This window comes from Homo sapiens, chromosome 13 (genome assembly GCF_000001405.40).
Source record: "Homo sapiens chromosome 13, GRCh38.p14 Primary Assembly".
Taxonomy (NCBI): domain Eukaryota; kingdom Metazoa; phylum Chordata; class Mammalia; order Primates; family Hominidae; genus Homo; species Homo sapiens.
The window spans coordinates 109,055,204-109,071,715 of record NC_000013.11 but is presented as its reverse complement, the minus strand read 5'-3'; the positions used below and the strand labels follow the sequence as shown (position 1 = coordinate 109,071,715).

General features: G+C 37.9%; 1 protein-coding gene across 7 annotated transcripts in view; it reads right to left on the bottom strand.

Annotated features, from left to right (window-relative positions):
• The window catches only part of MYO16 (myosin XVI), a 712,290-nt gene that overhangs the window by 136,290 nt on the left and 559,488 nt on the right, over positions 1 to 16,512 (bottom strand). For all 7 annotated transcript variants that reach the window (XM_011521062.2, XM_047430183.1, NM_015011.3 and 4 more), the window contains one exon: positions 16,121 to 16,326. In XM_011521062.2, coding sequence (XP_011519364.1) covers positions 16,121 to 16,326 — 206 coding nt within the window. The remainder of the gene's footprint in view (positions 1 to 16,120; positions 16,327 to 16,512) is intronic.

The window sequence follows — 16,512 nt, the reverse complement described above, 5'->3', positions numbered from 1 at the left end:
AAAGTATAGGTATAATTTTCATGTTTTACTCTATTGTTAAATAATCACTGATTTACCAAATCTAATGTATAAATGGTTAACTTATATTTCTTAGCCTTGTAGAGACTTAATAGAAGAAGTTCTTTCAAAACAGAGAACATAATTTTGATGAATGCCACATGTTGTATTCTGATTTGTGAATGGGACTCTGATTTTTAGTGTCATAATGATCAGAGCTGGAAAAAGGTCACATTGCCCCTGTCTCTCATCATTCATCAGTGATTGAGGTGGCTCACATATTTCCTATTAAAGTATTTTCCTCATTCCCTCACTATACGCACTGCTAATTTTCAGGACACTTTGTAATAGCATTCATTCTTCTGCAAATTTCATTGTTTTGAATATATAAAAAGTTTCTTTCTAATATAAAGTTATCCAAGTTTTGACAACTGTAGAGACAGTAGTTGGGAACTTATAAAAAATAGATGTTTTGTCATAAATGCGAAAATATTTATAAGAATACTATTTTAAAGTTGAAAAAATATTGTCATCATCCTTTTCATTCTTTAGCAAATGACGTGTTTTTTAAAAAAATATGGATTTCTAGACAATAAAACAAATTATTTTTATTCCAGAATAGATTCTGATAAAAATGGACATCTTTATGTCATATAATATAAGTATTTAGTACTTAAGTTGCCACAAAACTAAGTTTTCAAGTTCAAGTGCTAGGGTCTCACAATGATGTAGTTGGTAGTAGAGCATGCCATGAGTATTCTGTGGAAATACTGTAAAGTGGGTCAGCTCTAACTGAATTTTTCTCAGTTAAAAATAGCTTCTCACCTAAACATGAGATCACCAATACAGTGTCTACTGTGATTTGATGTTTTTATCCCTAAACATATTTCCGTGTATAAATTGATGCTTCACCTTAGGAATATTACAAAGAATGCTGTCAGTTAACAAAGCATTTCAAAGACCTAAGAAAGAACAATGAAAGGTAACCTTTAAAAGATAAAACAGAAGTACTAATCTATTCCTCATTTCATAGTTACTACATGGGTAGATATTTCAGAAAATGACTCAGGGTGCTTTTTTGGGGAGAAAGACTATTATTAACCCACCCAATGTCAAAACCTGGGATCATTATCTCACTCTAAAGAGTAAATGGCTACCCTAAAATGGAAACATTTACTCATAGTTAAACCAAACTCTTTAAGCTGGTAAGATAATAACAACTGTTTAGGTCTATTGATATGTCTTGTATGGGATATCAATAAACATTACACCTAAGACACAAAATTTAGAGCTCAACTATAAAACTATACAGAAAACTAAAACATTAATCATTTGTGTGTTAGTCCATTCAACAAATACCTGTTGGTCACCCACTAGTGCCAGGCGATGGGCATACAGTGGAAGGCCTTCCTTAATGGAGCTTAGAGTCTATTGGGAATTACAGAATACAGAATCCTGGTGATGAAATCCAATGAGACTTATGGGAAGATGGAGCAGTATAAAGATAGGATGACTGTATGTCCTGCTTTGTCAGGACAGTCCCAGTTTAATACCTATATTCCTGGTAAAATTATTAATTGTTCCTTGTTTTACTATGAAATATGTCTTGGTTTGGTCCATACACTATAAAATCACCATTGTCTTTAGCCACATACAGTATTAGATTCTAGAATAATTCTGCTGGCAATACACTGCTCTGAAGACTAGAGACAGATTTCTAAATTAATTGTGTGTGAGATTAGTGCCCTAATAGTTGTGCCTGCTATTTATTCACTGGACTCTCAATGTAAAGATCATGAGAGACTTGGCACTGAATTAAGACAAGTGAGGCCCTGGATTAGCCACATCTATTGAGATAAGTGTTATGGACTGAATGCTTGTGACCTCTTAAAATTCATATGTTGAAGTCTCCAAATCCCCAATGTAACTGGATTTGGAGATAGATCCCTTGAGAAGTAATTAAGGCTAAATTAGGTCATAAGGGTGGGGCCCTGATTCAATAGGATTAGTGTCCTTATAAGAAGAGACATGAGAAAGCTAGCACTCCCCCGACCTCCTTCTTGACTTCCCATGGCATGTATGTACCAAAGAAAAGCCATGAGGTCATATGAGCACACAGTGTAGAGCCCCTCTACAACTGAGGGGCAAGCACACACTAGATGCCAGCTTGCTTTCTGGTGCCTTAATCTTGGACTTTTAGCCTCCAGACTGTGAAAAAATGAATGTTTTTTAAGCCATCTAGTCTGTTATTTTGATATGGCAGCCCAAGCAGGCTAATACAATGATTGACAGCTCAGACTACAATGCTGAAGTGTCTCAGCTCTACCAAGATGTCTGGAACCTCTTTAGCTAAGACTGAGTAAAATAAGAAAATGCAAAGGATGATTTGGGGACAATAATTTAACTTATGCATACAAAATTTTGGACATTTAACTCAGAAAGGCAAGATAATCAGATTTGGGATTTCAATTCCATTGGAACTGAATATCTCTGGACTTTAATTTACAAAGCATATTGATCTTTGAACTTTCCTTTCTCACTGGGAACTTAATAATGGAAGCAGACTTCCAGTCAAATATGGAGGGATATCGAGGCTATTGGGATTTTATTATTAGAACTGCTCTTTTGTTTTATTTTAACACTTTCATTTATTCTGGTTACAGGATCCCTGATGAACTACATTGGACAATGTGTCAGGGCAAGGTTTGGGATGGGAAATAGAATGAATTCACAGCCTTGAATGTAGAGTGGCCTGGAGATCGATAAAGTAACACATTGTTGACTATTGACCCATTTCAGTTTCTTTGGGTACAAAATTTACATTGCTGGGCTGGGCACGGTGGCTCTCACCTGTAATTCCAGCACTTTGGGAGGCCAAGGTGGGCGGATCACCTGAGGTCAGGAGTTTGAGACCAGCCTGACCAACATGGTGAAACCCCTTCTCTACTAAAAATACAAAATTAGCTGAGCATGGTGGCACATGCCTGTAATCCCGGCTATTCCGGAGGCTGAGGCAGGAGAATAGCTTGAACTCGGGAGGTGGAGGTTGCAGTGAGCCAAGACTGTGCCATTGCACTCCAGCTTGGGCAAGAAAGAGCGAAACTCCACCTCAAAAAAAAAAAAAAAAAATTCATGGCTTATCAGTGGTCCCAGAAGGATACACAATGAAGAAGTGGTGTGCTCATGAAGATGAGAGAAAGAATATTCTTAAAGACTAAATATCACCCCAGGCGTATAGCCATGCCCATTATTATAAGTTTACTGGATGAGACCAGCAGTTCCAGAAAGTAAAACATGGCAGAACGCTACACAGAGAAACTTCTAGTCTGATGCTTCCTTGGAGATGGAGGCAGAGTGACCTGCTGGGCCACTCTCTAACCTTTCCCACTTCCTAAAGGAAGGTGAAGTGGTAGACTAATTTAATCGTTAATCTAGGGAAGAAAACTTGTGAACAAACTGCTTGCAAAGAAACAGTTGTTTCCCTCTGCTTCTTCAAGCTCCAAGATTCAAAATCTGATATTGCATTTTTTAATAAAAATATTCAGAATTCTGGGACTGAATTTTTTTATGGACCTCACAATTGTATTAAAAGTATATTGCAACTCTCAAAATATTGAATTAGGGTTGCAAATAGATCTCTGTTTATTTTCCTGGAATAATCACCTTCGTTTCATTTGTGTGGTATTGAATGTTGGCTCAGTGGAATTATATATTCGTTTTAAATCATTTGGGCTGGTCAGCTTTGCGTATTTGTTTCAGAGGTCGTTAGGTTGTTAGGAAGTTATTAAAGACTTTTTATTTTCATTTTCACATTGTTTTAAGCGAAAATGTACAATCCTTCATTTGTAGACATCGCTTTTCTTATTGTTCTTTGAGCTGATTTTCCAAAGGTTGTGACTGATTCAGCCTCATTTCATACCCAGCTGCCTTACGCCACGAACGAGTCTGTGGGATGGCTGGTGAGAGGTATGGGACTGGCTGCAGTCCAGGAAACTCTACAAAATTAACTGGGTTGTTTTTCAGGAAGCCGACCAAAGGCAATCCAGAGTGTAAGGCCCACAGCTGAATTTTAGAACTCTCCAAGGCCTTCTTTTCACCTGATGTCACAGTGCCGTCCTGATGTGCCTGTGCAATTGAGGGTGGATGCTAATGACAGTCAAGCCTCAGAAACAGCACGCCATTGTGGAAGAATTGGAACCAACAACTACTTTGGAACAGGGCCAATATCAGTACAAATCTCATGTCCTGTAGTGGTTAGAGACACCCTTAGGGATGAGATGTGAGACTTTGAACCTACCTCCTGGGAACTGTTTTCTCAGCTGTAAAATAGGAATGATGGCAATAATCAACTTTACACGAGTGCTATGAGGATTAAATGAGATGATGCTTGTGAAGGGCTTAGCGCAGTGCCCATTGCCTAGTAAATACTGATAAATGTTATTTGGAAAAACATTAAATCAAAGCTATGGCAAATATTAATTACATAATAACAAATGTCTACATAATGAGAGTAGTTACTCTAAATGGTTATTATAAGGAGAAGGATAGTGAGTATACAGTGAAGAGTGTGGAGTCCGACTCCCAGCAGGTACACAGCGGTGACCCATGATGATGACTGTGATGCTGCATTCATGCAGACTCCTAAGTTACACTGACGTTCTGATTTAGTAAACTGCTTGTATGAAATAAGAGTGAGCAAATAAGGAATGAAGAAATGAATGATGAACGAATGAGTGGATGCTGTTATGGGGGATCATACCACTTGGTAGAGTAGAAATTAGGATCCGAGCCAGATTATGAAACGAAACAGCCAAGTTGCCTTTCAAATCGTCCGTTTTTCTAAAAAATCTTCCCCAACTATATTAGAAAGAAGCTGAGTGCGAGTAGATCAAGGTTTAGTTGCCCTTGAGCCAAAACCAGCCACCTCCTGTTTTTGTCGGTTTACTGGAACACCACTTGACCCATTAGTTTAAATACTGTCAACCGCTGCTTTCTGCTGGAGAGGCCCAGTTGAGCAGCTGGATCAGAGACCACATGGCCATAAAGTCTACAATACGTACTATTTGGTCCTTTATACAAAAAGTGTGCAGATCCTTGAAGAATAATATGGGAAATCTTATGATCCATAATGTACTGAGCAGCATAACAAATTCTCAGTAAAGATATACTTTATTACATTTAAGCTAAAGTGACTTCTGGAAGCGTTGTTTAAGCTCCTCTGTCATCTTTTACATTTCATTGAAAAGTTACAGGTCCTCTTTCCTCTCAAACTTCGTTAAACCTTAAACAAGCAGCCAACACTCAAGAACAGTTTCAGCAGAAAGAAAATGGTTAGATTTGGCAAAATTACCTTGGAGAAAGTTTATCGTCTGCTAATTCAAGCTGTTAAGAATATTTAACATCTCCTGACCTTATTAATTCACACTTCTCTAAAGGATGCATTGACAGTAGTTGGCATCTCCAACATGTAACAAGGCAGACTTTTAAAAGACTCCAGCACAGGCTGTTTCTCTAGCGAGGGTCTGCCTCATTGGGTAGCCACTGTCCGTTAGCTTTAATCCAATAGATGGAAGTGTGTCTTCTTTCATCCCTCTCCGAACACCCAATTTAACATCATGGCTGTGTCCTTTCATAGTGAGGCTTTTCAGCAACAACTGTGTCATTTAGGCAAGCTAAATGGTTCGGGCTATTTCTGAGAGGGATTTCATCCAGTAACAATCTAAAAACACAGCTCACGGTCCCTCACCATGCCAAGCATAATAGCCAACCCTCTGGTGCTTTCATTGACAAGTCCTTCTGTCTTTTCCAAATAAGTTCTCCTCATTAAATAGTAAACTTCTCCATTTAGTTACCCTACTCTTCTCTGCCAACCATAAATAATCCTTTAAATGACTGATGGATGTGACCTATGCAAGTTTGCTACCCCGGATCTGGAGTTAAGACTCCGATGTTTGTTCCTCATAAGCCGGGATGAAGATGGAGAGGAGTGACACCTTGAGAGAGAGCCATAGGACCACAATTCTGCCACAGCCCTTCATGACCATTGGAAACAAAGATGTATGGATGAGAATTCCACAAGCATACAGGGTGATAAAGGCAGCTTTGGGAAAGGTGGCTGAGACCATATAAAACATCTCCTGTAGGGACTTTTCAAAGCAGTTTTTTAAATTTTCTTTTTCTTTTTTTTTTTTTCAGCATGGCCTCCTATTACCCTTTCTTTCAATTCTACAATTTTGAAAAAAATAAATGGTTTTATATTATTCAACACATTAAACTAACATATACATATCGGGGAGAGATGAAAATAATAATTAATATGTATAGACATGGCTGTGGAAGGGTTTTTATTCTTTCCCATCACTTGCAAGTCCTGTCTTTTAAAGGATAGTAGCTTGTCTCAAATTGGGGCTATACATGGATGCTCCCCATTGAACATATCTGGGTTGGTTTCAAGTGCTTTGATGAATAGAATACAGCGAGAGTGATGCTGTGCCAAGTCCAGGCCTAGCTTTTAAGAAGGCTGCAAGCTTCTTTCCTTGTCCATGGAAACTTGACCCAGTGGGTAAAAAGTCTGGGCTATTCTGCCAGAGAGAGAGTCACCTGGAGGAACAGAGGCACCAGGCATAGGAGTGAAGGGACCATCGTGTGCATCCCCCAGCCCAGCCAGGCCTTAGCTAACACCCACTTCTTCAGCCATATGGCTGCAACTGGGGAAGAGGCCCCAAGCAAGCATTGCCCACTAATCCCAGTTAGCTCACAGCAGTGAGAGAAAAAAATATATGGCTGTTTTATGCCACTGAGTTTGGGGATGGTCCAATACACAATAACAGATAATTCAGCCAGAAGTTGATGCATTTCCAACCCTTTGTTATGTGTTTTGCAGTACATCCCTATGAGGAGGGCACTTCTCCACCCTATCTATGTTGGTCTTGGCCAAGTGACTGGTTTTAACCAATGGGATACTTGGGAATGACACAGGCCACACTTCAGTAGCCTCTGTAACACTCATTCAGCCTTTTTTTTGTTCCTCCCTATGACTCAGGAAGAGCATATCCTAGATCTGGGCTAGTCTTTAAACCTGAATCCCATTAAAAACAAAAACAATAATAATAACAACAAAGATTGGAGCTGGTTTGAGCTTAGGTATGCTACTTCTAAACCACACTCAAATGCAATGCAAGAGAGAAATAAACATTTGCTGTTGCAAGCCACTGATTTAGGATTTTTTGTTCTACAGAACATATTGGTGGAACTTGGCTTTTACAGTGCCATCAGTAAAAGATCTGATAAACTGAAGAATGAGACCAACATTAGAGAACATTATTGAGATCTACTGAAGAGTAGATCAGACTTTTTCCTTCAGTTGCACAGAGTTTGGATGCAGAGGCAGGAAGGGTGACCAGCCTCTTGCTGGAAGCCAGGCAAACCCCTTTTATGGTCTAAGGCAGAGATAAGCAAACTTTTCCTGTAAAGGGCCAGAGAGTAAATATTTTAGGCTTTGCATGCTAAGAGGCAAAACTGAGGATATTATATAGGTACTTATATAACCGTTTAAATGTAACCATTTAAAAATGTAAAAAAATATTCTTAGCTCTCAGGCCACATGAAAGCAGATGGCAGGCCAGATTTGGCTCAGTGGCTGTCATTTTCTAACCTCTGGTCTGGTGGTTGAAATGAATACATACATGGATATTTCCAGCATGATCTAATAGGCATATGATAATTGTATTATACAACACAGTTTGAACCTTAGAGATACCAACTTATCTGGTATTTTATAAAATGTCTTCCAAAGGAGAGGATGCCTGAGTGAACCTTGAATAGCAGTGAAGGAAACAAGGTAGAAAAGATGATGGGATTGACACATACGATGCCTCAAAATCTTTGAAACCACATGGTATGTTCAGGTAAGCCATATTTCCTTCTATCAGCATAAGTATCAAGTAACATAAACTTAATTCCAAAATTCCAAACACAATATATATAACTTTGCTGCCTATTGACACCAAATGAACACACAAACACGGCTGTTTTAGTTGGGGTGGGCTGCTATAACAACATACTGTAGATTGAGCAGCTTAAAAAACAGAAATCTATTTCTCACAGTTCTGGAGGCTGAGAAGGCCAAGATCAAGGTGCCAGCCACATTCTTGTGCCAGTCACATTCCTATGCCCTCATTCAACTTTAATTACCTTCTTAGAGGTTCCACCTCCAAATGAAGTCACATATGAATTTACAGGAGGACACAGTAAGTCCACAGCTGTAGGCAATCCAATTATGTACCATAATTTGCACATAATTTTCCTGCTGCTTCTTTTATTGTTCCTCCTGTCTCCAAACTAGTGAAGTCTCTTGCCATTGAAGACAGAGTCCTTAAGTCTTTATAATCCCGCTCTGAAGCTGTATTACACAAGTAATAAACAGAAAAAAATATTGACAAGCATACTTTTCTATATTTAATCAAAATAGTATCCTCTCAACTAAAGCGATCCTCCAGTTTCAATTAGAAAGACTCAGAATGATGGACAGTTATTACAGCCAAGATACCATGATGCAAATTTACAACCTCATGTCCACCTACAAAGTCCAACAAATGTCCATTATCCACATTTATTGTCATGTCAGACTTCAGAAACAATAAATCCCATTCAAAGCAGTGGTTGCTTACTTCCCAACGGCAAAACTGGACATTTTGTTGTTGTTGTTCAAGATTTTTGTGGTAATCATATTCTTTCTTGTATACTTAATGAAGTCATTTTGATAGATTTTTATTCTCTGACAGTTAAGACAAGGTGATATAAATACAAAATAAATATTTTGCATAGGGATAATACATTCTTTACCTGAAAATTTGGTAACCAAACAAACAACCAAAAATTTCTATTAAATTACACCTCAAGGCTTTGTTTTTTATAATGATGTTTCCATTGCCTGGAGGCATTTCAAAGACTTGATGAGCTTCTTGAATACTCAAGAAATACTAAAATATGCTATTTCTTGATGTAACAGTATTTTGATTGTATGTTACTTAAATTCTTCAGTTTCTACAGAAACTGATAATCTCTCTATGAATCAATATTTTTTGTAATATTATTTCAGACTGGCATCCTAAATGCCAGAGAGATAGGGGCAGATTTCCTCTAAAATAAATTCATAATTCCATTTCCACTGATATGCCATTACAGATAAAGATAAGAAAGAGAAATCACATCTTACTTCAAATAAAGGAATGCTAAAAGAAATGCAAAGAATTACCTAAAAGTACCATTTCTCATCCTCACTATTCCTTTTTACTCACTGTACTTTTTACAGTATGCCTATGGTCTCTGTTATGCAGAAATATTACTTTAAAATGAACGACCACTTAATCTCCAATGCCAAGTTCATTTTGAAAACATTTGTTAAACACCGACAATGCACAAGCATTGTGAATGAATACGATACGATCCTCATTTAGAAGAAGTTATAGTCTATTGCATACATATAAAAATTATACTCAATTTTTAAGTATTAATTGCATTTACTATTTTAGCAAAAGCGTAATCCTAACAGAGTGTATATAAAACTGACTTGGAAATATACAAAAGCAAAGGTAAAAATAATTTTCTAATTTTATGATATCTCTCTCTCTCTCTTTCTCCCTCCACTCTCTTCTGGGGAAATAGAGCAATTTGGATAACTGTTGGAATAATGGTTAGAAATATTCACGTAGCTAACAAAGGTTACGCTGGACAACCACTAAGGTCCCTTTAATGAAGAGAATCTTTGATGTCACAGATCTAAGGAACTCTAATAACATTAAGGAAACAGAAAAAAAATACACTAAATGCACTTTTCTATTATTGGCTGAGTGAGATAAATCCCATTTCGCATCCTGCACAGGTGCACCTCATTTTGTTGTGGTGTTGCAGACATTGCATTTTTCACAAATTGAAGCATAGTTTTTCCAACACGTTCACACTTCACTTCTCTGCTTTGCATTGGGTAATGCCTGTCATATTTAAAACCTTTTCATTAATATTATATCTGTTATGGTGACCTGTGGTCAGCAATCATTGCTGTGACTATTATAATTGTTTTGGCGTGCCACAAACCACACCGATATAAGAAAACAAACTTCATCAATACGTGTCATGTGTGTTCTCACTGTTCAACCTACCAAGTGTTCCCCCACCTCTCTCTCCCTCTTCTTGGACCTCCCTATTCACTGAAACACAGAATTATTAAAATCAGACTAATTAATAAACTTGCAATGGTCACGAAGTTTTTACATAAAAGGAAGAGATGCACATCTCTCACTTTTAATCAGAAGCTGGAAATGATTAAGCTTAGGAGGGAAAGCATGTCAAAAGTCAAGACGGGCCAAGAGCTAGATCTCTTGCACCAAACAGCCAAGCTGTGAATGCAAAAGAAAAGTTATTGAAGGAAACTCAAAGTGCTATTCTTGTGGGCACACGAATGTAAGAAGGTGAAACTGCCTTATTGCCGATATGGAGAAGGTCTGAGTGGTCTGGACAGAAGATAAGATCAGCCACAATATTCCCTTAAGCCAAAGCCTAATCCAGAGAAAGGCCCTAACTCTTCAATTTTATGAAGGCTGAGAGAGGTGAGGAAACTGCAGGAAAAATGCTGGAAGATAACAGAGGTTGATTCATGAGATTTGAGGAAACAAACTGTCTCCGTAACATGAAGGGGTGAGGAGAAACAGCACATTTGATGTAAAGCTGCAGCAAGTTATCTAGAACAGCTAACTAAAATAATTGATAAAGGTGGCCACAGCAAACAACAGATTTTCTATGTAGGTGAAATAGCCTTTGATTGGAAGAAGATGCCACCTAGGAATTTCACAGCTAGAGATGGGACAATACCTGGCTTCAAAGCTTCGAAGGCCAGGCTGACTCTCTTGTGAGGGGCTAATACAGCTGGTAATTTTAAGTTGAAGCCAATTATCATTTGCAATTCCAAAAATCCTAGGGCCTTCAAGAATTATGCTAAGTCTACCCTCCCTTTGCTATATAAATGGAATAACAAAGCATGGATGACAGCACATCCATTTCTAAAAAACAATTTTACTTCAAGTTCTGGGATACATGTGCAGAATATGCAGGTTTGTTACATAGGTATACATGTGTCATGGTGGTTTGCTGCACCTATCAACCCGTCATCTAGGTTTTAAGCCCCACATGCATTAGGTATTTGCCCTAATGGTCTCCGTCCCCTTGCCCCCCAGCCCCCGACAGGCCCCAGTGTGTGATGCTCCCCTCCCTGTGTCCATGTGATTTCATTGTTCAACTCTCACTTATGAGTGAGAACATGCAGTGTTTGGTTTTCTGCTCCTGTGTCAGTTTGCTGATAATGATGGGTTCCAGCTTCATCCATGTCCCTGCAAAGGACATGAGCTCATTCTTTTTATGGCTGCATAGTATTCCACGGTGTATATGTGTCACAATTTCTTTATCCAGTCTATCATTGATGGGCATTTGGGTTGGTTCCAGTCTTTGCTATTGCAAATAGTGCTGAAATAAACATACATGTGAATGTGTCTTTATAGCAGCATGATTTATAATCCTTTGAGTATATACCCAGTAATGTGATTGCTGGGTCAAATGGTATTTCTGGTTCTAGATCCTTGAGGAATTGCCATATTGTCTTCCACAATGGTTGAACTAATTTACACTGCCACCAACAGTGTAAGAGCATTCCTATTTCTCCACATCCTCTCCAGCATCTGTTGTTTTCCGACTTTTTAATGATCACCATTCTAACTGACATGGTATCTCATTGTGGTTTTGACTCAAGATGGATTAAAGACTTAAACATAAAAGCCAAACCCATAAAAACCCTAGAAGAAAACCTAGGCAATACCACTCAGGACACAGGCATGGGCAAGGACTTCATGACTAAAACACCAAAAGTAATTGCAACAGAAGCCAAAATTGATAGATGGGATCTAAATAAACTAAAGAGCTTCTGCAGAGCAAAAGAAACCATCATCAGAGTGAACAAGCAACCTACAGAGTGGGGCAAAATTTTTGCAATCCATCCGTCTCACAAAGGTCTAACATCCAGAATCTACAAGGAACTTAAACAAATTTACAAGAAAAAAGCAACCCCATCAAAAAGTGGGTGAATCATATGAACAGATACTTCTCAAAAGAAGACATTTATGCGGCCAACAAACATATGAAAAAAAGCACATCAATTTACAGCATGGTTTACTAAATATTTGAAGTTCACTGTTGAGAACTACTGCTCAGAAAAAAATTCTTGCAAAATACTGGTGCTTATTGACAATGCACCTGGTCACCCAAAAACTGCTGAAGGAATTGAATGTTGTTTTCATGCCTGCTAACACAGTATCCATTCAGCAGCCCATGGATCAAGGAGGAATTATGTAAGAATAGATTCTCTAAGGATATAGGTGCCACAGGTAGTGATTTTTCTGATGAATTTGGGCAAAGCAAACTGGAAACCTTCTGGAAAGTATTCACCATTCTAAATGCTCCTAAGAATATTTGTGATTTATGGTAGGTAAAAATATCAACATGAATGGGATTTGGAAGCAATTGATTCCCATCTTCATGAATGACTTTGAGGGGTTCAATACGCCAGTGGAGAAAGCAACTGCAGATGTGGTGGAAACAACAATAGAACCAAAATTAGAAGTGGAGCCTGGAGATGTGACTGAACTGCGGCAACCTCATGATCAAATATTAATGGATGAGGAGTTGCTGCTTATGGATGAACAAAGTGTTTTCTTGAGATGGAATCTACTACTGGTGAAGATGCTGTGAACATTGTTGAAATGACAACAAAGGATTTAGAAATTCCATAAACTCAGTTGATAAAGCAGTGGTAAGAGTTCAGAAGATTGACTCGAATTTTGAAAGACGTTCTACTCTGGGTAAAATGCTGTTGCAGCTTCGCATGCTACAGAGACATTTTTCATGAAAGGGAGTCAATGGATGTAGCAAGCTTGATTGTTTCATTTTAAGAGATTACTACAGCCACCCTAGCCTTCAGCAACCATCAGCCTGATGGGTCAGCAGCCAGCAACATCAAGGCAAAATCCTCCACCAGCAAAAAGATTATGACTTGCCAAAGACTCAGACCATTGTTAGCATTAGTTAGCAAAAAATATTTTAAAATTAAGGTATCATATTGTGTTTTAGATGTAATGCTATTGCACAGAACAGATTATAGGATAGTGCAAATATAACTTTTATATGCAGCGGGAAACCAAAAACTTTATGTGATTTGCTTTATTATGGTATTAGCTTTATTATGGTAGTCCATCACTGAACCTACTACGTCTCCAAGGTCTGCCTGGATAGTGCTTCTGAAACTTCAACTGCATACCAGTCACTGAGGAATTCTGATGAATTTGCAGATTTTGATTGAGTGAACCTGGGGTGAGGCTGGAGATTATACATTCCCCACAAGTTTGCTTTGATCACCAAGGCACCGGCACCCTTTCAACATTTGGCTGGGGGGAAGCAAAACAAAACAAAAACATTGTCCCCAGATGACTAGAGATTCCATGCCAGGGGTTCTCAAAGTGCCGTTCACATGGCAACAATGTTAACATCAGCTGGAAACTTTTTAAAAATGCAAATTCACAGGCCTCCGCTAGACCTACTGAATCTGAACTTGGGGTGGGGAGCCCAGGAATCCATATTTTAAGAAGCCTCCAGGTGATTTTGATGTGCACTCATGTCAGAGAACTGCTGTTTTGGGTAACACTAAAGAGGGAGTTACTACAGTTAAACAAATTGTAACGTCTCAAGGCTCATCACCCTCTGAGGCCCCCGCGGATCACTTCCTGAGACCTCAGCCTTAGGACTGACACTCTCCATTCTATTTCATATTGAATCATCTCTGGAGCTACAAACCAGGGGGAGCCCGGTCCCTACTCCCTGTTGATACTGATTCAGAAAGTTTGGGATAAATTTGGGGAATCTATTGTTTTAAACTTACACAAGAGCATTTTTAAACTCGAACCAAAGGCCATCTACACTTAAGAAGGTGGGAGGGCTGACCTTTAATACACACACTATAAAATGTAAGAAATATCAGCTCTTAACAGGTTCGGCATCTCTGAAGACTATGAAGGGATATCCACCGAGGGACCAGAAAGAGACGAGTCAGGAGCCGTCCTTCCCAAAGCCCTGCAACAGTCAGTGATAGCTACTATGACTCCTGTCCAAAACAACCCCCAGAAGTATTATATCCAGCTTTGATTTATTTCTGTGTAAGCCCAACTTTGTAGTTATTCCTTATAAATTAAGAGACAACATGTCTATTATCTCATTTACAAGCACCTTTTAAATTTTAAACACAAATATCTTGTCTATCTGAAATACATATTCTACAGTTTAAATACATCCATCCCCATGTGGTTCTGCTTATCTTCTATCTTCTAAACATATTCTACTACCCCTTTAAAATGGAAGGCTCAAGCTGAACTCATATGTTGTTTATTTTCTTCTATGTGTCTTTATAAAATTTACCAAAATGCACAATAAGTAAATGCGGCTTATTTCCTCTGGGAAAACAAATGTTATAAAAATTAAACACAGAATTTTAGTCATCGTTTAAATATTATTCCCTTTGTTCTGAATTAAATATTTCAAATGTAGTTATTTAAGTTTGTTGGCTTGCTTATTTTGTTTTTGTTTCACAGCTTCCTCAAAATAGTGGCTCACATTGAACTAGTCAACAAAAGTCTCAAAATCTCTCTTTTTTGGATGAATGGTTTATCAAACAGACTTTTTCATACTGTAGTTGTATAGTTAATTTTTAAACATAAATGCGAGATTTCACACTTGCAATACTTATATTAGTTTACATCAGTATTATTTTAAGATCTCATTTATTTTATATAGAATTACCAAATGTCTTCTGATTTCCTTTTTGCCCACCCCTGTTTTATTGTTTGAATGCTTAAAAACAGATAGTCTCATTATTTTCACCAGGATTGTAATATCTTTCAAATATCTTTGAAAGCTATCTCTGATCCCAAATTACCTTCTTACTATGCTTCTGTAACACTTTGTAATATTCCAACCCATGTAATATTCCAACCCTTTGTAATATTACAAGCACTGAATGGCCATTATTTGCGTATGCATTTACCTGTCTAAACTGGGACATTCATCAAGCTAGAGTGTATAGCACAACAATGTACCTAAAGATGAGGCCTGGAATAGTGCTTAGTAGCATATATCTGTAAATTAAGTTACTACCCATCAACCAATTTACTTAAAATGGATTCATCAGTGAGGATTATAATTTACTTAAAATCAGACTAAAGTTTCTGATCAAATAAAATACAAATGAACAAATATGTAGCCTGAGGGGATGATGTTGCTTTTGGTGAGTTTAGGTGCTTCTTGCAAATGGCTGGGATAAGGCTACCATGGGAGAAGGGCTAATACAGACATGAAGATGAGGACACGTGACAAGAGCTTATCCTAGGAATGAGTGCACTGTCTTGTGCACAGTGTATTTTTCAGCTGAATTTACTGAAAACAGAGGTCAACAAACTTCTGTTCTAAAGGGGCAGATAAGAAACATTTTACAAATATTTTACACCATGGCACACTGTCTATCTCTATTGCAGTGCAAAAGTGGTTACAGACAATATGCAAAGAAATGATTGTGGCCATGTTCCAATAAAACTTTATTTACAAAAACAGGTGGTAGGCTGGATTTGGCTGGCCCATGAGTGTAGTTTGCCAACCACTGATCTAAATAATATTTTGTTCATATATAAAAGGGGAAATAATCACTTACATACATTCTCCTTTTAAATAATAAATAGTAAATATCACATGCAATCATTTTACAAAACTTTAATCCAAGGAAAGCCACACTTTGAAAGGAACATGAGAATGGTTTCCAAGATACTGTCCTCAGTACAGTTTAATTATTTTTTATGTGAGCTTTGTCAGTGTATTTCATTGTTTCCCAGAATATTTTGTTTATTGGAGATAGAAAAAAGTAAACAACAAAAGCAGTGCCAAAAAAGACAACAGAAGACCCTTGCTACAATAGTGTCAGTGTCAGTACACTGCACTGAACAGCAGCGAGAACGACGATTTTAAGAGCAGAAGAATTTACCTTGACAGGAAATCCGAGAAGGAAAGGCGAACAGGGTATCCATATCGGAAGATCTTCACCATCTCCAGGACCCCAATATATTGTAGCTGAGCAGACACGTAAAAATTATCAAAAGTATCTGGCAGCTTTGAGTTATTGGGCCTGATGCAATGAATGAAGTGTGGAGTGCACTTCTGAAGTTTTCCAATAATATCCATTAGTGATTTCTAAGGAGAGAAGTAGAACCCAACTGATTCTCCAAAGGAGACACTAGCTAAAAATATAAAGCAGTTTTTAAATAAAAAGTCTTTACGTCTTTAAATCTCATTATGCATTTACTCTGTGTGTGTGTGTGTGTGTGTGTGTGTGTATGTTTACTTTTTTTGTGAAGATATTTAAGTTGTCAAAAATGG